The 26594-nt window shown below is 36.2% G+C and overlaps 1 protein-coding gene and 1 pseudogene across 1 annotated transcript in view, besides 1 other annotated feature; both read right to left on the minus strand.

Annotated features, from left to right (window-relative positions):
- LOC100129589 (TM2 domain containing 3 pseudogene) lies at nucleotides 677–1298 on the minus strand (annotated as a pseudogene).
- Nucleotides 1147–2346: an enhancer, noted in NCBI's record as "P300/CBP strongly-dependent group 1 enhancer chr12:86176139-86177338 (GRCh37/hg19 assembly coordinates)". NCBI's record gives its function as "activates an origin of replication core promoter dependent on BRD2, BRD4, P300/CBP, MED14 and CDK7 cofactors, with strong dependence on P300/CBP, by STARR-seq in HCT116 cells {active_cell/tissue: HCT116}" and the evidence as "EXISTENCE:reporter gene assay evidence [ECO:0000049][PMID:35650434]".
- Nucleotides 19489–26594, minus strand: part of RASSF9 (Ras association domain family member 9) — a 35707-nt gene continuing 28601 nt past the window's right edge. Inside the window, exon 2 of the mRNA NM_005447.4 lies at nucleotides 19489–24748. Within this exon, the coding sequence (NP_005438.2) occupies nucleotides 23488–24748 (1261 nt within the window). The 3' untranslated portion in view covers nucleotides 19489–23487. The remainder of the gene's footprint in view (nucleotides 24749–26594) is intronic.

Genomic DNA, 26594 nt, shown 5'->3' on the forward strand with positions numbered 1-26594 from the left:
TAAGTCTAAATTACGGAGGATTTTTGTGGGAGCTTCTAATTTGTGGCTGAAAGAACAGAGCCAAATAACTTCCAGTATTAAAACACACACACACACACACACACACACACACACACACACACACAGAGACAGAGAGAGAGAGAGAGAGAGAAGAAAAAATAAAACAAGGAAAGGAAAAAATCAATTAAAATAATTTCTGGAAATCAAAATGCAGATATGGTTTAAAACTGGATCTTATTCTCTGCCTACAATTTTAACCATACGGAAATGCTGGGAGAAAAATAACTGATGTGTCTTAGTTTCAACATCACTAAAATGTAGGTAAATTGTTTTTAACTTTCTTTCATATGAGTTATGATGGTTGGCCAATGTCATGAATGAAATATACTTTGAGGTTTCTGTAAAGCATCAAGAAACTGCTGTATTAAAGTGAGATTATTACTGTATATACTATAAATATTGTGTAGGTGTGTTTCTTCCAATATTTAGAATATTCTGTTTCTTCTTCTAATTTTTTCAATGTTTCATTTCTCTTTTTTACTTCATCAAGACAATCAAAGTACAAGTGCTGCACATTAAAAATATACAAATACATCACTCACACCACATCAACTCCTACAGGCAAAAGGGCTTTTACTAAACATTACTCCTCTTCAAAGCACATAATCACAAGCTAAATGTATCAAGAGCCATCTGCTGGTCCAATGTAGCCAACTCCAATTAGCAAGATGTCTATTAGTGTCTATATTTCCAGGCCACTGAAGCTGAAGAGCTTGCCAAGGCCTTCTTGCCACTGGTTGAGGTGGAAATGGTCTGCTCCAAAGCCACCAAGGGTGATGCTTAGAGCCAGAGCAATAGACCACTTATAGCCTCCAGCCCAATTTCAGTGCAGCATTTTGAAAAAAGTAGTTACCCAAGTCATGAATGTGTTTATCATGTATTTGGCAGCATAATGCCGTTGAGGACAGGACCTCATGCAGCTGGTAGAATTGAAACATTCATATTCTGTTTCTGGAGGCTTCCATCAAAATCAAGTCATGTTGATGAGAAAGTTACTTTGGGATTTTAACTCCTAATCAACACAGGCAACAGAAGGTTTCACTGTACAGTCAAAAGTGACTAGCTTCCCATAGACACAGAGGACATTTGTTGTGCAGTCTATAAATTCTGCAGAATACCTGCTACACAAACCATTGCTTGAACATAAAAGGTGTAATTTCGGTACTTTCACTGCCCAACAGGAAGTAGCACTCTGAGAGTAAAAGCAGCACATGGCACAGGCAGTGGGGACCCCACAGCTGAGCTGTTAACAGCCACCCATAATTTTGTTTTCTTAGTCATAATTGTTTTTGTTTTCATATCATTTATTATACTATGATCTACTCTCCCTCCTCTGACTCTCTTTGCTAAATGTGCTACCTGAAGTTCAGGTCTATCCAAATTCAGCTTCCTCGCCCATCCTCAGTTGTGCGTTTTAGGTTACAGACGAAACCTCAGGATGTCTTTGTTATAATTAGAGTACAGTCAACTCTTAATTATCTATGATAATGGATTACTGGGAGAGCCTGAATAAACAAATTGGTTTGAAGATTTGTCACCTTGAGTGAACTCTGTCTCCCATGCTGTCCCTTGGGAGTGGTAGCAAGGGTAGGGTGAGGGAAACAGGCGGGCCAACTCCTCACAGTGACTCATGCTCCAGAGGGTAGCTTCACAGATAACTTCTGGAATGTCCCTGTGTCACTCCTCTCTTAAAGATGAAAGGATGGAAAAAACTGAGAGCCACTAGCAACAAACATTTGTTGAGTGAATGAATGAATGAATGATAGGATTTACTTGATGTGGTTCCCATAAAGAAGAAGTCTCATCTTTCACTTCCATCACCAGTTTGGAGTGACTAAATGCACTCACTGAAGAAACACTGTGGTAGTGCAAAGACATCACTAAGAAGGCTCTACATAGATGAGGTACATTTCTGTCAGTGCTTATAAATCATGGGCAATTTAAATATATTCACTGCAATAAAGCAACAGACCAACAAGGAAACATTTTAAAATTAATGCTATATAAGGAATAATGCTTCTATAAATATTGCCCAATGTTTATAATATTTATATCCATTTCTTTTTTGCTACTTTGGAAATAACTGGTATTTTCCCGTAGGAGATACACAGGAAAATGTGAACCGTTTGTTGAAACAGATGAAAAGATACAGATCTTCTAATTGTGCTGCTAGTTGTCAAATGACTAATGAATTTGAATTCAATCAATGTTCATTAAACATTTGTCAATTGTAGGCATTTTTCTAGTGACTGAGCATGAAGAGATAGTTCAACAAAGATAAATAGGATATTGCAACTGTCCCTTCGTTGTTTCTATGGATACCTGGTGTGAGTTACAGGAGAATTAAACTCCAGACTCAAGTTCTTCCTAGGCAATGTGATACTTTCTATGCATTTTTTTTTCTAAGAAAGAGAATATTATAATTAAGGAAAATGTTATAATTTAGCTAAAGCTGAGTGTATTATTTTTCAGAATTAAGACAGTAAGTATTGCATTAACAGAGAAATGTGAGGAATCCACTTTCCTTGAGGCAACTTGAAGAAGAAAAAAAGCACTCTGAGAGTTCAAAGGTCTTAATTTCAGTAATAATTTCACTATGAACTATCTAAAAACCTTCAGTTGTCTGGTATTCTTTTTGATCTTGTAACATGATGGATTTGGAGTACATAAACTTATAAATTCCTCCCAGACCTAACTTAAAAAAGACTCTGATAAAAGAAAGATTGAATTTCTGAGAAATACATGACAAAAATTAACAGATCTTGGAGACATTGAATATGAGTAGTTGGTAGAGTAATGAGTCTAAGGAGATTCTGAAAAGGCCAATTTGAATAACTGATGTCTGGTTAACAGAGTTAACTGTTAAATCTCTCAAAATGCAGGCAAAATGAGGAGAAAGCAGCAGCCAGGTGATTCACATATTTGACAATTGAGCACTGATTGCTTAGGAAAGCTATCATCAATCTTTTTTTCTTGTTTTCTTTTCCTGACTTGTGTATTCTTGTTCTAACCACCTAGAAAAATTTCCTTGGCATTATGCATAAAAACTCGTTACTCACTTAGCATGGACAAAGCAGACACTCTTCAAGCCTCATTTAATTTGTATCTATGAGGAATGATGAACACTAAGCATGGGCTCTAATTATAAATTTAAGGTAGTGGGGTAAAGCTTAAATTAGTGACTACCCCTGAGCCTAGCTAATGGTGGTATTAGGTGCAATAAAGTGGAGACAAAAACTTGCAGAGCCAGTTTCAGCTGAGCTTCCATGGTGACAGAGACCTTCACAAAATGCTGTTAAGTCTGTTTGTAATGACACATCGTTGCATCAGGCTTTGAATATTTAACTCATATCACATACTTTAACTTCATTAGATATGAGAGTCTGCTTTTTTGTGTATGTATGAAAAGTCTGAAAGATTTTAAGTTCAAAATAAGCAGATAATTTTTTATTTTTATAGTAATTAGAGGATTCTTCATTCTCAGTCATTGCAATTCATTATTTTGTGTGTGAAATAATGGCCATGTAATTTTCTACCTAAGAATGATATATTACTTGTATATCCAACATGTTCATTGCTAAAATAATCCTTTTAAAATTATACATTAAGATAAAGGTAGGATCTAGTCTCTTTCCAACTGTACCATATTCAAAATGTAACTCCTTACATGCCAAAGTTCAGTCATAAATTGCCTCCTCTCTAGCTTAACTAAAGTGAAGTAATATTAGAGGAAGATGGTTAAATGTTATTGATGATTATTCACAGATATTAAAAAATGTTATAAATGTTTCTCAAGATTTCTGGAAACTCACCCCATATATTAGGTCAAAATCCATGTCTAAAATGCATCTTAATTTAAATGCCATTTGATCCTTTTTAAAACTGTTTTGCTTTAAATTTGTATAATCTGACTACCTCCATCTTCTTCAGGCTCTGGAGTTATCTTTCTTTTTGATATATAAATAAAGCCACTTGAAGCTCTCCTCTCATGTGTTATAGGTAATAAATGTTCTAATATTTCCTACGATTACCAAATGGAATGGAAATTTGCTGCTTCTATCTTTTTCATTTAAATTTCTTTTCCTATATCAGGTTTTTTCTTTTTAAGAAATCACGGTGGGAGATTGTTGTTAAGTTAAATTGACATTTTAGGAGGTTCCGAGATGGAACAGCTCCACTCTAAAGCTCCCAGCATGAGTGAGGCAGAAGACAGGTGATTTCTGCATTTCCAACTGAGGTACTGGGTTCATCTTACTGGGGCTTGTCGGACAGCGGGTGCAGGACAGTGGGTGCAGCGCACCAAGCATGAGCTGAAGCAGGGCAAGGCATCACCTCACCCTGGAAGTGCAAGGGGTCAGGGAATTCCCTTTCCTAGCCAAGCAAAGCCGAGACAGACGGCACCTGGAAAATCGGGTCACTCCCACCCTAACGCTGTGCTTTTCCAATGGTCTTAGCAAACGGCATACCAGGAGATTATATCCTACGCCTGGCTAAGAGGTTCCCACGCCCATGGAGCCCCGCTCATTGCTAGCACAGCAGTCTGAGATCAAACTGCAAGGCAGCAGTGAGGCTGGGGGAGGGGCACCCGCCATTGCTGAGGCTTGAGTGGGTAAACAAAGCCGCCAGAAAGCTCAAACTGGGTGGAGCCCACCGCAGCTCAAGGAGGCCTGCCTGCCTCTGTAGACTCCACCTCTGGGGGCAGGGCATAGCCAAACAAAAGGCAGCAGAAACCTCTGCAGACTTAAATGTCCCTGTCTATTAGCTTTGAAGCAAGTAGTGGTTCTCCCAGCATAGAGTTTGAGATCTGAGAATGGACTGACTGCCTCCTCAAGTGGGTCACTGACCCCCGAGTAGCCTAACTGGGAGGCACCCCCCAGTAGGGGCAGACTGACACCTCACACGGCCGGGTACTCCTCTGAGATGAAACTTCCAGAGGAATGATCAGGCAGCAACATTTGCTGTTCACCAATATTAGCTGTTCTGCAGCCTCTGCTGCTGATACCCAGGCAAACAGGGTCTGGAGTGGACCTCCAGCAAACTCCAACAGACCTCCAGCTGAGGGTCCTGACTGTTAGAAGGAAAACTAACAAACAGAAAGGACATCCACACTAAAACCCCATCTGTACGTCACCATCATCAAAGACCAAAGGTAGATAAAACCACAAAGATGGGGAAAAAACAGAGCAGAAAAACTGAAAATTCTAAAAATCAGAGTGCCTCTCCCCCTCCAAAGGAACGAAGCTTCTCGCCAACAATGGAACAAAGCTGTAAGGAGAATGACTTTGACAAGTTGAGAGAAGAAGGCTTCAGACAATCAAACTTCTCCGAGCTAAAGGAGGAAGTTCGAACACATCGCAAAGAAGCTAAAAACCATGAAAAAGATTAGACGAATGGCTAACTAGAATAACTAGTGTAGAGAAGTCCTTAAATGACCTGATGGAGCTGAAAACCATGGCATGAGAACTACATGACAAATGCACAAGCTTCAGTAGCCAATTCAATCAACTGGAAGTAAGGGTATCAGTGATTGAAGATCAAATGAATGAAATGAAGTGAGAAGAGAAGTTTAGAGAAAAAAGAGTAAAAAGAAATGATCAAAGGCTCCAAGAAATATGGGACTATGTGAAAAGACCAAATCTACGTCTGATTGGTGTACCTGAAAGTGACGGGGAGAATGGAACCAAGTTGGAAAGCAATCTGCAGGATATTATCCAGGAGAACTTCCCCAACCTATCAAGGCAGGCCAACATTCAAATTCAGGAAATACAGAGAACACCACAAAGATACTCCTCGAGAAGAGCAAGTCCAAGACACATATTTGTCAGATTCACCAAAGTTGAAATGAAGGAAAAAATGTTAAGGGCAGCCAGAGAGAAAGGTCGGGTTACCCACAAAGGGAAGCCCATCAGACTAACAGTGGATCTCTCGGCAGAAACTCTACAAGCCAGAAGAGAGTGGGGGCCAATATTCAACATTCTTAAAGAAAAGAATTTTTAACCCAGAATTTCATATCCAGCCAAACTAAGCTAAATAAGTGAAGTAGAAATAAAATACTTTATAGACAAGCAAATGCTGAGACATTTTGTCACCACCAAGCCTGCCCCACAAGAGCTCCTGAAGGAAGCACTAAATATGGAAAGGAACAACCGCTACCAGCCACTGCAAAAACATGCCAAATTGTAAAGACCATTGATGCTAGGAAGAAACTGCATCAACTAATGAGCAAAATAACCAGCTAACATCATAATGACAGCATCAGATTCACACATAACAATATTAACCTTAAATGTAAATAGGCTAAATGCTCCAATTAAAAGACACAGACTGGCAAATTGGATAAAGAGTTAAGACCCATTAGTGTGCTGTATTGAGGAGACCCATCTCACATGCAGAGACACACATAGGCTCAAAATAAAGGGATGGAGGAAGATCTACTAAGCAAATGGAAAACCAAAAAAGGCAGGGGCTGCAATCCTAGTCTCCGATAAAACAGACTTTAAACCAACAAAGATCAAAAAAGACAAAGAAGGCCATTACATAATGGTAAAGGGATCAGTTCAACAAGAAGAGCTAACTATCCTAAATATATATGCACCCAATACAGGAGCACCCAGATTCATAAAGCAAGTCCTTAGAGACCTACAAAGAGACTTAGACTCCCACACAATAATAACGGGAGACTTTAACACCCCACTGTCAACATTAGACAGATCAACAAGACAGAAAGTTAACAAGGATATCCAGGAATTAAACTCAGCTCTGCACCAAGCAGACCTAATAGACATCTACAGAACTCTCCCCCCTAAAATCAACAGAATATACATTCTTCTCAGCACCACATCACACTTATTGCAAAATTGACCACATAGCTGGAAGTAAAGCACTCCTCAGCAAATGTAAAAGAACAGAAATTGTAACAAACTATCAGACCACAGTGCAATCAAACTAGAACTCAGGATTAAGAAACTCACTCAAAACCACTCAACTACATGGAAACTGAACAACCTGCTCCTGAATGACTACTGGGTACATAACAAAATGAAGGCAGAAATAAAGATGTTTTTTGAAACCAACGAGAACAAAGACACCACATACCAGAATCTCAGGGACACATTTAAAGCAGTGTGTAGAGGGAAGTTTATAGCACTAAATGCCCACAAGAGAAAGCAGGAAAGATCTAAAACTGACACCCTAGCATCACAATGAAAAGAACTAGAGAAACAAGAACAAACACATTCAAAAGCTAGCAGAAGGCAAGAAATAACTTAAGATCAGACCAGAACTGAAGGAGATAGAGACACAAAAAACGCTTCAAAAAATCAATGAATCCAGGAGCTGGTTTTTTGAAAAGATCAACAAAATTGATAGACCACTAGCAAGACTAATAAAGAAGAAAAGAGAGAAAAATCAAATAGATGCAATAAAAAGTGATAAAGGGGATATCACCACAGATCCCACAGAAATACAAACTACCATCAGAGAATACTATAAACACCTCTATGCAAATAAACTAGAAAATCTAGAAGAAATGGATAAATTCCTGGACACATACACTCTCCCAAGACTAAACCAGGAAGAAGTTGAATCTCTGAATAGACAAATAACAGGCTCTGAAATTGAGGCAATAATTAATAGCTTACAAACCAAAAAAAGTCCAGGACCGGACGGATTCACAGCCGAGTTCTACCAGAGGTACAAGGAGGAGCTGGTACCATTTCTTCTGAAACTATTCCAATCAATAGAAAAAGAGGAAATCCTCCCTAACTCATTTTATGAGGCCAGCATCATCCTGATACCAAAGTCTGGCAGAGACACAACCAAAAAAAAGAGAATTTTAGACTAACATCCCTGATGAACATCGTTGCAAAAATCCTCAACAAAATACTGGCAAACCGAATCCAGCAGCACATCAAAAAGATTATCTACCATGATCAAGTGGGCTTCATTCCTGGGATGCAAGGCTGGTTCAACATATGCAAATCAATAAAAGTAATGCAGCATATAAACAGAACCAAAGACAAGAACCACATGATTATCTCAATAGATGCAGAAAAGGCCTTTGACAAAATTCAACAGCCCTTCCTGCTAAAAACTCTCAATAAATTAGGTATTGATGGGACGTATCTCAAAATAATAAGAGCTATTTATGCAGACCCACAGCCAATAACATACTGAATTGGTAAAAACTGGAAGCATTCCCTTTGAAAACTGGCACAAGACAGGGATGCCCTCTCTCACCACTCCTATTCAACATAGCGTTGGAAGTTCTGGCCAGGGCAATCAGGCAGGAGAAAGAAATAAAGGGTATTCAATTAGGAAAAGAGGAAGTCAAATTGTCCCTGTTTGCAGATAACATGATTATATATCTAGAAAACCCCATTGTCTCAGCCCAAAATCTCCTAAGCTGATAAGCAACTTCAGCAAAGTCTCAGGATACAAAATCAATGTGCAAAAATCACAAGCATTCTTATACACCAATAACAGACTAACAGAGAGCCAAACCATGAGTGAACTCCCGTTCACAATTGTTTCAAAGAGAATAAAATACCTAGGAATCCAACTTAAAAAGGATGTGAAGGACCTCCTTAAGGAGAACTACAAAACACTGCTCAACGAAATAAAAGAAGACACAAACAAATGGAAGAATATTCCATGCTCATGGGTAGGAAGAATCAATGTCGTGAAAATGGCCATACTGCCCAAATTAATTTATAGATTCAATGCCATCCCCATCAAGCTACCAATGACTTTCTTCACAGAATTGGAAAAAACTACTTTAAAGTTCATATGGAACCAAAAAAGAGCCTGCATTGCCAAGTCAATCCTAAGCCAAAAGAACAAAGCTGGAGGCATCACGCTACCTGACTTCAAACTACACTACAAGGCTACAGTATCCAAAACAGCATAGTACTGTTACCAAAACAGAGATATAGACAAATGGAACAGAACAGAGCCCTCAGAAATAATACCACACATCTACAACCATCTGATCTTTGACAAACCTGACAAAAACAAGAAATGGGGAAAGGATTCCCTATTTAATAAATGGTGCTAGGAAAACTGGCTAGCCATATGTAGAAAGCTGAAACTGGATCCCTTCCTTACACCTTATACAAAAATTAATTCAAGATGGATTAAAGACTTAAATGTTCGACCTAAAGCCATAAAAACCCTAGAAGAAAACCTAGGCAATACCATCCAGGACATAGGCATGGGCAAGGACTTCATGTCTAAAACACCGAAAACAATAGCAAAAAAGCCAAAATTGACAAATGGGATCTAATTAAACTAAAGAGCTTCTGCACAGCAAAAGAAACTACTATCAGAGTGAACAGGCAACATACAGAATGGGAAAAAATTTTTGCAATCTACTCATCTGACAAAGGGCTAATATCCAGAATCTACAATGAACTCAAACAAATTTAGAAGAAAAAATCAAACAACCCCATCAACAAGTGGGCGAAGGATATGAACAGACACTTCTCAAAAGAAGACATTTATGCAGCCAAAAAACACATGAAAAAATGCTCATCATCACTGGCCATCAGAGAAATGGAAATCAAAACCACAATGAGATACCATCTCACACCAGTTAGAATGGCGATCATTAAAAGTCAAGAAATAACAGGTGCTGGAGAGGATGTGGAGAAATAGGAACACTTTTACACTGTTGGTGGGACTGTAAACTAGTTCAACCATTGTGGAAGACAGTGTGGCGATTCCTCAAAGATCTAGAACTAGAAATACCATTTGACCCAGCTATTCCATTACTGGGTATGTACCCAAATGATTATAAATCATGCTGCTATAAAGACACATGCACACATATGTTTGTTGTGGCATTATTCAATAGACTTGGAACCAACCCAAATGTCCATCAATGATAGACTGGATTAAGAAAATGTGGCACATATACACCATGGAATACTATGCAGCCATAAAAAAGGATGAGTTCATGTCCTTTGTAGGGACATGGATGAAGCTGGAAACCATCATTCTCAGCAAACTATCGCAAGGACAAAAAACCAAACACCACATGTTCTCACTCATAGGTGGGAATTGAACAATGAGAACCCTTGGACACAGGAAGGGGAACATCATACACTGGGGCCTGTTGTGGGGTGGGGGGAGTGGGGAGGAATAGCAGTAGGAGATATACCTAAGGTAAATGACGAGTTAATGGGTGCAGCACACCACCATGGCACATGTACACATATGTAACAAACCTGCACGTTATGCACATGTACCCTAGAACTTAAAGTATAATTTTTTAAAAAATGACATTTAAAATTTTGTTTACCAAATTCTTAGCAAATATGCCCCTATTAGATACAAAATTATTGGTGCTGCTTAATATCATAGAATCATGAAGACTTTAAGTTATCTGTGTTTTGTAGTTGTTAAAACAATCCTCAAATAGTAAGTTATTTCATTGAAATACTTTTAGAAAGAATATTTAGGAGAGTCTTTGAAAGCTCTTGTTACAAATAGTGGTAATATGTAGTGTATTTCATGTTGAAGATAAACACTTCATATGAAACATTGATTTAATACATTTTTCTAATAATAATTCTAATTATTAGAAATATTTCCAAGACTATAGAATAAAGCTTTAAATTCTTATTAATATTTACTTTTCCCTGGGCTTATCAATGAAGAACTTTGTATCTAACTAATAAACAGGTATATTGTATGTGACATTCTGTAGGAGAAGCAAAAAGGAAGGATGCAACAAAAGAGACTAGATAACTGCGTTATATATCTTTCACACGAACAGCCCATTGTGAACAGTAGAGTTAATTAAATGCACACCAGATGCCTTTAAAAGTTTGTTTGCCTAAATGGCAATTACAACCTCCACATACAAACAAGAAAAATAAAAATAATACAGGACACTATATTTTTAATGATTATAGTACACATACCACTTCTAACCATTAACTGGGTTCTCCCATATTATGATTTGTTTTCTGCTCAGCATGTTACTTTCCCCAGCTTCTCTCAACTCCACTTTTTTCTGATAGGTGGACATGGAATCTTTTTTATTCTCCAAAATATTATAAAACAATACTTTTGCATGAAAAGAATGCTAATGAGGTTTGAGGATAATGACTCAAGTGAAGCTCAGAAAAGGAACAATTCAATTCAAATGTATGACCTCAAAATCCATTGCTAACTTCTCACTAGGAGCCACCTGCTTACTATCACTTTATAAGTCTCAAAACTCAATATTGCAGGGTTATTTTTCATTTTTGATCACTTTTTTTAATTTTACATCCGTTTGTTAAAATTTGAATCCTCTACTCCACTATGGTTTCTTAAGCAATTTTTTTCAAATAAACAAAAATAATGACTTACACAGAGTACCAAGACAAAACAACACAAACCACTGAGATAAATTTTTACACTTGCCGTAGCAAGTTTTCCTTTGCATAGCAATTTAAATTTTTCCCTGATTGATAGATTTACACAATACTTTTTTTGTTACAATCTTTTGCATTTTTTGGAAATTGAAGTTTTGATGTGACACTCTTGATGTTATCTATTATAAAATATGTGTTTAATAATAAGGTATCTGTACTATACTTATAATAATACAGTTTTTCTAAAAACAGTTTTTGAAGAATAAAAGAAATACATGCTGTAGTATTTTTAGCCAACAATCATGTACCTTTTTTTCTATGTTATATTAGCAATTTAAGTCTAAGTGTTCTCATTAAGAATTTATAAGTTGTTCTATATTACTTTTAAGCATTGAGAATTATGATTAATTCATATGCATATAAAATATTGGTTTTCATAACAAGTATTTACGACCTTTATTTCTTTATTTTGAGAAAAACATGGAATATAACAATCTGCAATTCTCCTTGGCCATAACTTGATTCCTCAACATAATTAAGCATTACTGGAAAAATGATTTTTTTCTAAAAATAAAGCAGATTTTTTTTGACAAATTGTCATTTGATACCTGAGCGATAGTCTTTATAATACATAAGTTACATCAACCTCTCTTAACTTTGAAAATTCTGTGGTCTGGCTGGGCGCAGTGGCTCATGCCTGTAATCCCAGCACTTTGGGAGGCCGAGACGGGCGGATCACGAGGTCAGGAGATCGAGACCATCCTGGCTAACACGGTGAAACCCCGTCTCTACTAAAAATACAAAAAAATTAGCCTGGCGTGGTGGCAGGCGCCTGTAGTCCCAGCTACTCGGGAGGCTGAGGCAGGAGAATGGCGTGAACCCAGGAGGCGGAGCTTGCAGTGAGCCGAGATTGCACCACCACTGCACTCCAGCCTGGGTGACAGAGGGAGACTCCGTCTCAAAAAAAAAAGGAAAATTCTGTGGTCTATTCTGGGGTACTTGGATGTTTCTACTGCCTTTAATTGCTCAGCCTGTTTTGTGAATAGAAAATCTTTTCAATGACCATATACAGTGCAACTTTATCTGTCTTATCATATTAGAAAACTTTTGGCTATTGCCCCAAATTAAGTATAAATGTGGTCATCCTTCAAGGAAGAACACATACATTGCTTGTAATGCTTGTGTTATAGCTGATCTCATAGCTCTGTTTTTGTTCTCTTCCTATCCACATACAAATTTTTATTTCAACGATGGACTGTAGTAAAATATATTAAATAAACTTTTATGATGGAGTGAAAGTTGCATAAATACTCAAATGAAATAACAGTAGAATGAACAGATAGTTACCCTATAAATAATCCCCAAGAGCTAAGAGCAGAAACTGCAGCAAAACCTACTGTTCAAACTGATGGGCACTTACATATTTTTGACATATGTATAGTGATGCATCCTTCATTATAAAATCAAGAAAATATTGGACTAATAATGGTTGCTATAATAATAAGAGTCTACTCTATACAAGGTGAGATGCTGAGTATTTTTCATGCTACATCTCCTATCTTTAAAGCATTCCAAAAAGTTAGGCATTATTATTATCACAATTTTCCAGTTGAAGAACTTCATGAACAGAATAGTTGAATAATTTGATTAAAATCATGCAAGTAACTAGGGCTTGAACCCAAATTTGAACCAAATATGTCCGGCTTCTTAAAGGAGACTTGTCTTAATTATTTTGTAGAATAAATTACTTTTAATTTGAGCCAAGAAAAACGACACTTTTGGACAATTAACTAGCCCTGTTAATGTCATATTTCAGGAAAATAGTGTAAGACACATAAAAAATATCTGCAGTACTTATATGATAACAGGAGTTCCCACAGTGGTCTAATTTATTCCATCATTTTCATCTTAGATTAGGCACTATTTGAAAAAGAGACAATAACCTTTGGGCACCTGGAGTCTCCGGATCAGCCCTTTAATACATTTCTGTTTCCCAATTACCCTTGGCTTGGGACCTAGTGCTTTTTATGTTTCTTCCAGGTCAATGAGCTCTATGCATCACTTTAGGAATGCTTCTCTCCACATCCCTTCATTTAGCTTGGTAAAGTGTTTAGTCATCAGCTCTGCTGTGAGTTAATAAACCACACTCTAATGCCATTTCTTTAGAATCATTTGGCTAGATTTTAAAATCACAAAAGTTAGGGCTGCAATCCAGACCACCTCAATCAAATTCACCAGGGTGAAGTTCAGGAATCTGCATTTTTAACAAGTACTTTTTGTGAGTTTGTTGTGGAAACAGGTTTGGGAATTACCTCCAAAAGACTCATGACTTGGCTTGACCTAAATTTAAATCTCCAATGCAGGATATTTTCCTCCTTAGTCTGTCTTACTTTTGAATGATAAATCCCAGTTACCATTACCACCCTCATCCTTTGTGAAACTGCTGTTCCTCACATTATTTGACATTTTGGTATTTTATAATTTTTTGGACGATTACTTCAGGAGTGGGGTGGTATGCGTGGATGCTAAAAGAGGGATATGTAGCTTTGATATCCATCTTCGGGCTCTTTCCGTCTCAGGTAATTTAGAGGTTTTGTGATAAGATTTGTACTTGGAAAGCAAAACAATTATTACCAATCACCATGCCATGCACCTGAACTTACTTGAGAACAGTGACTTGCAAATTTCACAGGATACTAACAAATATTTCAAAATCTTAGCTTCAGTTCTGAAAATGTATAAAACTTTTCTGTTCCCTTGTCTGGGATATGACAAATGCTACTTAGAATAATTTTTTGTTGTTATTGTTGAGATGAAATCTCACCCTGTCACCCAGGCTGTAGTGCAGTGGTGCGATATCAGCTCACTGCAACCTCCGTCTCCTGGGTTCAAGCGATTCTTCTGCCTCAGCCTCCAGAGTAGCTGGGACTACAGGTGCGTGCCACCAAGCCTAGCTAATGTTTGTATTTTTTTTTTTTTTAGTAGAGACAGGGTTTCACCATATTCGCCAGAATGGTCTCGAACTCCTGACCTCGTCATCTGCCTGCTTCAGCCTCCTAAGATGCTGAGATTACAGGCGTGAGCCACTGTTCCCAGCCTAGAATAAATTTTAAAACTTCAAAAATAGTATTTGAAGTCGAAAAACCATACCTTGATTTTATATCTGTATAAGTACCAATGTATTTGCCCTGAGTGATGGAAACAGGAAAGAGAGGAAGTGGTGTTCATTTCAAATAAAGTATGTAAGCAATATTTTACCCGTACTAGACATTTAACTTTTCTTTCATTACTTACAATAATAAGAGTTAACATTTATAGAATAACTATAAAGTTCCAGGCACTATGCTTGCCCTTTTGTTACATATCTAATTTTATTAACATGTATTGGCAAATATTAGGTTCCAATCTCTGTTGGACACTAGAGATATTAAAATAAACAATACAAGTTACTATTCTCTCCACCTCTATTTACAGAATAGCTTTTTCTGTTCTGGAAACACAAATGATGTCCCTTTTTCCCTAGCCATACATTGTTTGGCTAACATAATCATGACTCTTTTGTCTATCATGGCCAATAATAACAACCCTACAGCCCCACCCTAACTAATCTGGAAAGAAATGAGAGATAAGAGTGAACATATCAGGAGAAGCAGAGTTTTGAGTTTTAACTCCCTCCTTTTTCAATTAGTAGGCTACTTTAACCTCTTCTTAAGGTGGTTCTATAAAGAATAAAATAAAATAAATAGAGCCATGTGCAATAAATAAAAACCTAATATTTGTTGTGCACGTACCAAATCTATTGAAGGAATTATTCAATATAATTTGACCAAGTTGAAAACCTTAAAGGTTATCTAATTTAGCTTTTTAATTTTTTTATTTTAAATTATTTTCTAGGTTGGAATCTGACATCCTAGAATTCAAATTGTTTACAGCCTTCAGGTTTCCAGTTCTCTGTTAGTTGACTTTGACATTACCCATTACGCTGCAGCTGTTTGATGTTCAAAAAAGCCTTTAAAGAGCCTCAGCAAAGAAACAAGAAAGTTAGAAGGATATTATATAGGAAACACTTTTAAAGTTTTTAAATTATAAAGATCCTGTATTTTGAAATATATTTATAGTGGAAAAGAAATATGTCATCCCTAAAATCATCAAGTTAAAACAAAAACTTGCAGAAAAATTTTGCATTTCCAATTTCATATGGATTTGCTTTTAGGTATGCAGTTTTTATTTTTAACATAGTTTGTTTACAGGCATTTGTGAAATAATTCCTTTTAAACTAGATTTTACTATTGTATTCTTATAATGAGAAATATTAATATTTATAAATTTCAGTAATCTGACCTTACTCTAATAATACCCGAGAACCTACTTAACACCTCCTGTATTATCAGGATTTTAATTTGCTGTTATGCATAAAGCTAAGACAAATACTTTCATGCATATATGTTTTCACAAATTTTGGAATATTTTCCCTCTACTTATTATGAATTGTAGGAATGCTGATTGAAAGCTGTGAATTGTTGATCTATACTATTATTTCCAAATTATTTTCCAATATGTTACACCAATTGCCGTAAGTAAATCTAGGGGTTTACTTATCAAGGAAGGCCATTTCATTCACTTTATTTTCAAATGGAAAGTTCTTCAATAATAGGAATGGTGGGGCTGTTACATGATAGAAATGCATAAACTCTAACAATGCTGAGAAAATGAGAACTAAATACCTAAAATTCTGATACTTACAGACCAGAGTCATTATAGACATATTTAGTCTTGATTTTTTGTTTGTTTTGTAGAGACAGGGTCTCTCTATGTTGGCCTGGCTGGTCTCAAACCCCTGGCCTCAAGCAATCTTCCTGCCTCAGACTCCCAAAGCACTGGGATTACAGGTGTGAACCACAACACCTGGCCTTATAGACGTATTTAGTATTTATGACTGCTACTTGTTCTCTAACCTCTAGTCTTTTTCTTTTCTGTTTGGCCGTTGCTTGAATTTTTAAGTAGTAACTTGTAAGCAACATTTTCTCATCTCAGAATAATAATTAGTGTTTTAATTTATCATTAACTACCCCTATAGGTATGAATTAAACAAAACTGAAGAAAAATATTCTTCCCAAATTGAGTCTTTTGGAACTTTTATTTCATCCTAGCAGAAATTATAGAATACTTGTGCTAAGACAACTGTTTCGATATCTGATAATTTGATTAGCACTTTCTGAAGCACCATACCTATGGAAGCATATTAACAAGATTCTGTAGACTTTGAAATCAACTTGGGCTGTTGAATTCCTGGCAAATGAGGATGATGTCAATCATCATTCAAGAAAAAACCTAAATTGTCTCCCATCTTTATGCTTATGTCTCAGTCTCGTAAATTATTATTGGGCTTGATCTACTAAGGCCCTCCTTCCTTTGTTTTAAGCAGATTGTTCTGTGCATTTGTACTTAATATACCAAGCTCATGTCATTGACTCTTCTTTTAATTTTATTTTTAAAAGATAAGTGGTATTTTATTATAACAATAATTGAACTCCCATAAGACTTCATAATTTGCAACCAAGGACAATACTAGCCTCTAGGGAATGCTTGGAAACATTAGGGATGAGAGGAGGGGTTAGACGAAGACAATTTTGCTTGTCCCAGTATATAGCAGTACCATTGCCAGTTTGTAGGAGGCATCCTGGTGTGCTAAATGTTTTTCAGTTAATGGGAGAGTCTAGCAGACAAAAAACTCTCCTGCCAAAATGCCAATAATGCCACAGCTGAGAAACTCTGCAGGTTAAGCATTTTTCTTATGCAAACATTCATTTCGTAGCCTCATAAAGTTCCTAAGTGGACTAATGATACAATATTACTAGATATTCTATTTTTATTTATGTCATGGCCATTACAAATATTACTAATTAAATTTAGGTATTCTATCCTATGCAAATTAGTAAAAATCTTAGACTTCTTTGCATTCAAATGTGTTTTGATCTTAATTTTGTTAGTCAGTTAATTTGTTTTTCTAGGGTAAGGATAGTTGTTTGTTTGAAATTTCAGAGAATTTCCTAACTTTTTCAATTCACTTTGCTGGTATACAAAATAATGTAAGAAAGAAAGTCTACATGCATGAGAGCAAGAATCATTTGAATATGTGGTTGAAAGTTTAAAACTAAAGCATGAATACACTATAAAGAATTAATGTACTATTAATCTACTATATTCAGTGAAATTATTGAATTCAGTGGATAAAATATAGTTCTGAAGTGAGGGCTTAAAACAAGCAATCAGTAGGGAATTTCCAAATTTTAACTTGAAGACAATTATCAGTTGAATAATTTAATGAGGAGAAACAAACCTAATTTATGACAGTAACACAAAAGGTATGAAATTCAGAAATAAATCTTATATTGCTTGTGCAAGAAGAGAATAAAGTTTTAAATCCTGCTGAGGGACACAATTGAAGACTTGAACAAAAGGAAACACATAAGGCTCTCAGACAGTAAGTCTCAATATTAAAGTAGTCAGTTTTCCCTAAATGTATACATAAATTTAGCACGCTCTCAATTTAAAATACCAACAGACTATTTTTGTAGCTGTGCAAGATGATTATAAATATTGCAAAATTTATAAAGAACAGGAAAATTTTTTAAAACAAACACGAGTAATAGGAATATATAAATAATTAAAATATACCAAATCTTAAAAGGATTATAAAGTCACAATAATTCAAATTATGTAGCTCTTGAATGTGAATACACAGCCAAATCAATGGGATGGCAGAAAAAATCCAAAAATAGATTCAAAATATGTACCAGAATACGGTTCACAATAAAGGGGGTATTTAAAAACAGTGGCACAACGTTATTTGGCAAATAATGTGGAATAACTTGTAATTACCTAAACAAGATTCAATTATCTCCATAAGTTTAAGCATGTAACGAACTTAATTTCAGATGGTTGAAAGTTTACAACTAAAGCATGAATACACTCTAAAGAAGCATCAGAGAAATTATTTCAAAAATTATTTTAAAAATTATTTATCATGCAGTGTGAAGGCCTGTTTAAAAATGACCAAAAAACACTTTACGAGTTACTTATCCATACATTCAACTATATAACTTAATTTTTTGCTTTAAGATAAATTAAAAGACAAATAGCATACTCTGTGGGTGGGAAGAGTACATTAACAACTTGGGTAGTAAAAGATTAATTTTTATAAAGATCATTTGTCAATGTTTATTAAATTTGAAAATGCCTCTGTTACCCTTTAAGCCAATATTCCTACATCTGGCAATCTAGTCTTACAGAAATGCATTGACAGAATGACGTTGTTTATAATAGTAAATTTTCAGAAAACATCCAAATGCCTATAAGGAGGGGATTAGTTAAATAAATTATTATAATTGATACAATGAGTTTCCCTGCTGCTATCGAACACAGTATGGAATCTCTATATGAACAATATAGGGCCATCTCCAGAATAACCACATCTCAGAATGAGTAAGGAGTTATGTAAGAAAAATATGAGGAAGAGTCTGCATATTCTTCCACAATAAATTGGAAGAAATATGTATAAAACCTAATAAATAGTTTTGTTCAATCTTACTTCCTGTATATTTACGTTTTCATGAAATAACTAATCTTAAAATAAATTGTGCATTATATTAGCAATTATATAATTCACGGTCGGGTGTGGTGGCTCATGCCTGTAATCCTAGCAGTTTAGAAGTCCAAGGGGGCAAATTGCCTGAGCTCAGGAGTTCGAGACCATCTTGGGCAACATGGTGAAAGCCCGTCTCTACTAAAATACAAAAGAAATTACCAAGCGTGGTAGTGGGTGCCTGTAGCCTCAGCTACTCGGGAGGCTGAGACTCAACAATTGCTTGAACCCAACCCGGGAGGCAGAGGTTGCAGTGAGCCGAGATCGCACCACTGCACACCAGCCTGGGTGACAAAGCTAGACTCTGTCTCAAAAAAAAAAAAAAAAAAAAAAAAAGGATAGCAATTATATAATTCAACCTGAAAGAAGATTTATTTTTAATACAGCCAAATAAAAGACCACCCAAAACAATATCACAAGAAAGGTATAATTATTTCTTTTATTATTTTGGATCAGTTACAACATGATAAAATGATATATACTTAATATTTGTCACATCATGTTTATTAAACCAATCAGGCAGTATGAAAAGAAATAGCCTAGTATTTAAAAACTATATATCAGGATAAAATGTATTTCTTTGTCACTAGAAAAATATGTTTTAAATAGATTATGTCTACTTGGAAAATAATTATAAAAGGCAGCCACAGAAATATATTTTGTCATGTACAGTAGATATTTAAATAAATATAAAAATAAAATTTTAATGGATTAGAATAGCTTCTACACACTAATGAGGTGTTGTTATTTTACTTAAGAAGAAAAATGAAATAGATATTTTGTTTAGGATATTTTAAAGTTACTTTCTGTGTCTACCATTTAAAACCCAACTCTAAAATATGTTTTTTCTCATAAGCACACAATGAAATAAAAAATTCTATAATATAACCATTAAATCAGCTTAAAGAGACATTTGGGGTTTATTAAGTCAGTAATACTATTATTAAAAATAAACATTGATGCCACATTTAAAAAAATCGTAGTAGCATGAAGATTTAATTTTTCTTTCCCAAAATGTATAAGGTCAATTACTGTTAATGTTTTAAGTCTGCTAAAATACGTATTCATTCATGTACAAAATGTACAAGCATCATTTACCATCTATAAAACACACACACACACACACAAAAGCTACAAACCTCTAAAATTTAGCCACTCAATTCAAAAAGGGAGCAGGGGGCAAAGAAGTTAATAGGAAAGAGTAAGGCTAACAAGACAGATGATAAAGTAATTTAATAAGAATTCATTGGTCGGGCACGGTGGCTCACGCCTGTAATCCCAGCACTTTGGGAGGCCAAGACGGGTGGATCACAAGGTCAGGACATCGAGACCATCCTGGCTAACACGGTGAAACCCCGTCTCTACTAAAAAAATACAAAAAAATTAGCCTGGCGTGGTGGCGGGCGCCTGTAGTCCCAGCTACTCAGGAGGCTGAGGCAGGAAAATGGCGTGAAGCCGGGAGGCGGAGCTTGCAGTGAGCCAAGATCGCGCCACTGCACTCCAGCCTGGGCGACAGAGTGAGACTCCGTCTCAAGGAAAAAAAAAATAGAATTCATTGAAGGAGGGGAATTAGGTAAGTGCATAAATATATATAGCGTAAGCCAGAATAAAAATGCTTCTTATGAGAAGTACCTCTAAAATATTTCTGGGTTCAGAGATGAGATTCCAACTAATTGAATGGAACAAACGTATATCATAGAAGAGCTAGCACATTAAAAAGACTGTGGAAAGGGTAAGATTTCAGAGCATTGCAGAAGGATAAAAAGGAGAATTCCAAGTGGAAGGATGACCAAGGATGAATCTAGGTCCTGTTACAGAAATTAAGAATAGTCAGCTTTGGTTTGTTTCTTCTAGCTGCATATAGCAATTTCATAGTTAACCTGTCAGATTACTCAAGAATTTATACTTTAACATTTCTATAGATAATAACATTACACTTTCTATCAAGTTCTATACTTATAATTCCAATTCTCACTTAATTTAATAACAAATAGTTCAGTATCCAGACATGAGGGCATTGTATTTCAGTACTTCTATTTGTGTTAATATATTAACATGTAACTGTAAATTAAGAGGTTCACCATGGTAGCTGATGAAGGATTAAAACTTAATGATTGTAGTGATCAAACGCACAAATACATTTGTATAACTAATGAGCAAATGGAAATTCTGAAATGAATTTAAAAAGCAATGGTACTGCTTTCTGAGACTTACAAACATTATTTACTGTAAAATGTAGAAGAATTGAGCCTTAAATGCATTACTGTGCTTAACTGTATAAAAGCAGAAGTTAATTCAAAGTTTCTAAGATGAAATTATCTCTCCAGGCCTACTTCTTATCAGAACCTCTTGAATTCAGATAATTAGTCAAATAGATAAGCATGTTCTTTCAGTATTTTCTCACTAAAGATAAGAATAATTCAAAGAGATGACTTCCACTGTAGGAAAATGATACAATGGGTTTATCATTTACGATGATCTTCTGAATTTGATCCCCATTAGTGAACAATGAATATGTCAGTGGCTTATATTGTTGAATAATTTTATGGACTCTTAGTCAGGTGAACTTTCCTTTCACAGATGACTATTCAATTTTATCTTTTTTAAAAAAATGTAACCGATGCCAGAATTATTACTCTTTATCACTGTATTTTTCCATAGAATGGAAATTTCTATTTTTCTTACCAGCCAACTTGAAATAAGACCTGAAAATATCTATTTTGGTACAAGAAATGATAGTATAAATGCTCACGAAACTGAAACAATCAGAAAATTCTAAATGTCTTCCCAAAGATGAGTTAAAAGACAGGAGAAGGCAGGAACAAATATGTTAAGAAGATTTAAGGAGCAATATATTTTTTTAAATGAGTTAACAATAAAGTTGCTTTAAAAAATTAAATACTTTTCAAATTTTGAAAGTAAAACAATAAGAAAACTGAGTTAAAACCTGCACTAAAAGTATGCAAAAGAATAAAAGAGAAGAAATGAGAAGGATTGGGACCCTTAACCAATGTCCACATATTAAAACTAAGTAAAATAATATTTCTACTTACATGTGCAGTGACACACAGGAAAGATATCAGCTAAATAAAAATAAACTGCAGCAGTACTCAGTTAACAGTACAATAAAAAATAATTATTTCATTATGATTGCATCATGTGTTCATTGGCAGGAAGGAAGCAAAGGAAAAAAAGAAGACGGGAGAAGGAGAGATGAAGGCAGGAAAAGAGAGGAAGTAAGGCAGACAGGAAGGCAAATAAGAAGAAAGTAAGCAAAGAAGGGAGAGAGAAGAAAGCACATTTCTAATTAAAACACAAGCATAGTAGGCCATAATAATGATTGTCAGTCAAGATAAGACCTAAATAATCCCTTCAATTTCTTGAATTCTTACTAGTGTGTTGGGGATTTTGCTGGTACTTTTTTAGGAACTAAGTCTCTTTTAAGCACTTTAGATGAAGAAATAAGACAATCTGAGTTATAGCATAGCAGAATAAGTCTTTTGTCCATGTGGTCTCCTCTCTGTAGGTTCAGAGACAAAATGCTAATAATTATAGCAGATTCTATTTTATCCACAGAAGGGTTCCAAATTCCATCATTGCAACTTTTGTAGATAGGACATAAACAAATAACACTATGACTGATTTTCTCTGTAACCCACACTATACCTCACTCAGTGAATGAACATGGGTTTGGTCAGGAGATCTGAATTGCCAGATAGCAAACATCCACACATAGCTCTTAATAAATTGAGGCTTCTTTATAAAAATTGCTGTTTGTATGCAGCACTTGGCCCTGCCTCATCTGTACCCTATACGTGTCTGATTCCCTGCCAGTATTTATACATGTCCCAACAGCAGCCTGTTTCATAGGCCTCAACAGGTAGAAGGGTTCAGGAAGTGATATACATGATACGTTGTATTATCAAGGATCAATTAAAAGAACCAAACTTTGAATTAATGCAGTTACAACACAGTAGCTCCCATATACTTTACAGATTTAAAAATTCCAATTATACAGTGTTGGAAAAATATATATTACAGCACATTTTAATTCTACTTCTTCATGTTTGAATATTTGGACTGTCTAATATTGAGGATTGCTTTTAAAGTTTATGTAAATCGTTTTCCACAGACGCTAAGGAAGATTATCATATGATTCCCATCAAATTATTTCTGTGTTCTACAACGACAAGCTATTTGTGCTGCATTCGTGATAAATAGTTCATTGCTTGAACTTGCAATAATTAAAGTTCCTTTGGAAATTTCACATCAGAAACAACACATTTCTCGAGTTTTTATTAACTATTGAATACTACAATATGATTTACATTTTTTTGAGTGTTATATTTAAAATGAGGTTTCCTATTAAATTAAACAAACATTAAAACATGAAAGCAGGTCAGAAAGGAGCCATTGGAACTATGTTGACAACAGCACCACATCTCCTACTGTTGTTTCGGAGTCCTGACTGTGGTTAGAACTGATACCAGTGTCCGAGTCTGTGTCATTTGTGTAATTGCTAAATACTCTTTGAGTAAAGGGAGGAATCTCCCCATTGCTACTGGGAACCTCAGATTCCTTCGCTCTGTTTTCCTTTAACTGGCACCCATCTTTGTTGCTAATGTGAAGTGAATTGAATTCCTTGGCCAGGAGTTCATATTCTTTTGCTTTCATCTGAAGCAATGAGTCACTGTATTTAATCTCTTTCTGGATGCCACTCAAATGAGAGTGAATTTTCAAACCAGCTTTCATGCTTTTCTCCAAATCACACTTAACACTCTCTAAATTAGAGCTTTCCAGTTCACTTGCAGCTTCCCCTTCCGCATCTTCATTTATATCAATGCAAACACTTTTTACCTCTTTTTCTATTTCAGCAGAGAGCTTATCAATGAGTATTCGGTAATATTTCAGTCGTTCTTCCAGCTGTTCAATTCCATCACTTTCGCTCAGGTCCTCCAGAGTCTGGTTTTCCTCATACTGCAAGTCTAGATTTTGCTCAACTTCACTGAAACTGGGCATTAAATATGCATCCTGAACATAGTTTTCTCCATCATTTTCTACTCGATCAAGATGGAACTTAGCTTCACACTTTTCAATTTCCAGATCCAGCTCTTTCATTCTCTTGACTTGCTGATGAATAGTATGGTCCTGGGAAATGATCAGATGAACTAATGTCTCCATATTATCTCGATCATGAGAAACTGTGTCCTGCTTAATTTTAGCCAGTTTCCGGAAAGTTTTCCTGACTATTCTTTTTTGTTTATCTGGTGGTAAAGTCTTCATGTAGTTTGCTGGGCTGAGCTCCCACAATTTTTCTGTGTTTTGCACTAATTTGGCTTCAGCTGTCCGCCACAAAGGAACTGGAAGAAAAGCATCTGCTTTAACCAAAACAAATTGCATATTGGGCTGCTCATCTCCCCACGCTTTCCAAAGCTTCAGGATTCTAGTTAGTGGAGGAAGAACCCTTTCGGAGCCTCTCCACTTCTCTATGATGCAGTAATCACTGGGCTTCCCCAGAAGAAATCGTTTCTCTCCAAACGTAGCCTCATGTTCCTCAAGCAAAGCCTGGATGACATCAGCAGAGGTGGTGCGTTTAGTCAGCCCACAGACAAGCTTCTCTTCTTGGCAAACCCAAACCACAATTTCCTTCTCTTCTGAATCCATGTCTTTAGTTGGAGATCTGAAAGAAAAACAAAAGCACATTATATTTCTGTCATTGCCTGTGTAAACTCAGAAAGATGGTTTAACATTAGTATGCTTTCTAGATTTTTACCCTTAATGAGAGAGGCATTTTTTTTCTGTCGCCCAGGCTGGAGTGCAGTGGTGCGGTCTCAGCTCACTGCAAGCTCCGCTTCTCGGGTTCACGCCATTCTCCTGCCTCAGCCTCCCCAGTAGCTGGGACTACAGGCACCTGCCACCAGGCCCGGCTAATTTTTTTTTTGTATTTTTAGTACAGACGGGGTTTCACCATGTTAGCCAGGATGGTCTCGATCTCCTGACCTTGTGATCCACCCGTCTCGGCCTCCCAAAGTGCTGGGATTACAGGCGTGAGCCACTGCGCCTGGCCGAGAGAAGCATTTTTAAGTTGAGAATAAGAGTCAGAAGATTGGCCGGGTGTGGTGGCTCACGCCTGTAATCCCAGCACTTTCGCAGGCCGAGGCGGGTGGATCACCTGAGGTCAGGAGCTTGAGACCAGCCTGGCCAACATGGATAAACCCCGTCTCTACTAAAAATACAAAAATTAGCCAGATGTGGTGATGGACACCTGTAATTCCAGCTACTCAGGAGGCTGAGGCAGGAGAATTGCTTTAATCCAGGAGGCGGTGGTTGCAGGGAGTGGAGATTGTGCCACTGCACTCCAGCCTGGGCAACAGCGTGAGACTCCATCTCAAAAAAAAAAAAAAAAAAAAAAAAAAAAAGTCAGAAGATATAATGCAAGAAAAATATAAAAACCATGGAAAGAATCTTAATTATCTTTTTATTTCCTAGTGTGCTCTGGGAAGAGCAAACTTTCATTCAAGAAAACTGAGGCTATTTTAATTAAAGCATAGGTAGCGATAGTGAAATCATAGAGTTAAAAATAGTACAAAATGGAAAAATCGTCATTCTTTTTCATTAACAATTGTTTATTTCATGCCAACTATATGCCAGACACACCTGAAGATACTAAGGATATAGTAATAAACAAAGAAGACAAGAATGCTGACATGAATATGTAACTAATGTAATATCAAATCACAGTAAATGCTATGAAGAAAATTAAATGGGGCAAAGGAATAGAAAACGACCTGGAAGAAGGGCGGACTATTTTACTTAAAGTGCTTAGGACAGTCTTCCCCAAGGAGGTGACATTTGAATAGGGATATCCATTATCAAAAAGAGGCAATCAGAGTTCTCAGGAAAGAATTCCAGGAACAATGAGCAGAAGTATAAGGATCTAGGGACAGCAATACTGTGAATGTAGTTGAAAGCTGAGGATAGCAGAGTTGGAAATTGCTGCTGGTGGGAAGGAGAGATTAAATAATAGGCAACAGAGGGGATGGAGAAAAGCAACATCTCCTTTCTCCATCCCCTACTTTAGAGAAGGGGGAAGCCAAAGAAAGTGTTAGCTAACACCTTCCTAAGCTAAAGCAACTGGAAAGTTTTAAGTAGAGGTAAAACTAATTTATGCTTTACATATGTCTGTCTTCTGTTTGTGAAATGGACTGGAAAATAGAAAAAAATAGAAGCAAGAAGCCTATTCCATCAGTCTAGAAAATAGATGATGATTTCCTGGACTAGAGTTTTAACAGTACAGATATCATAAAGGAATCAGAGTTGGGATATAGATGATTAGACAGATAGATCCCCCCTACCCAGCACGGAGAGGCACACACATGTATTTATGTAAATATACATGTATATATGGGCTTGATAGTACTTTTCTCTGTTCTATAGAAGGTCAAGGGGAAAAAAACACTTCAGTTCTCTGGAGAAAAAATGACACAGGTAGTAAAAGAAGCAAAAATTCCATGATGTCTAGATCA

This window comes from Homo sapiens, chromosome 12 (assembly GCF_000001405.40).
Source record: "Homo sapiens chromosome 12, GRCh38.p14 Primary Assembly".
Classification (NCBI taxonomy): Eukaryota; Metazoa; Chordata; class Mammalia; order Primates; family Hominidae; genus Homo; species Homo sapiens.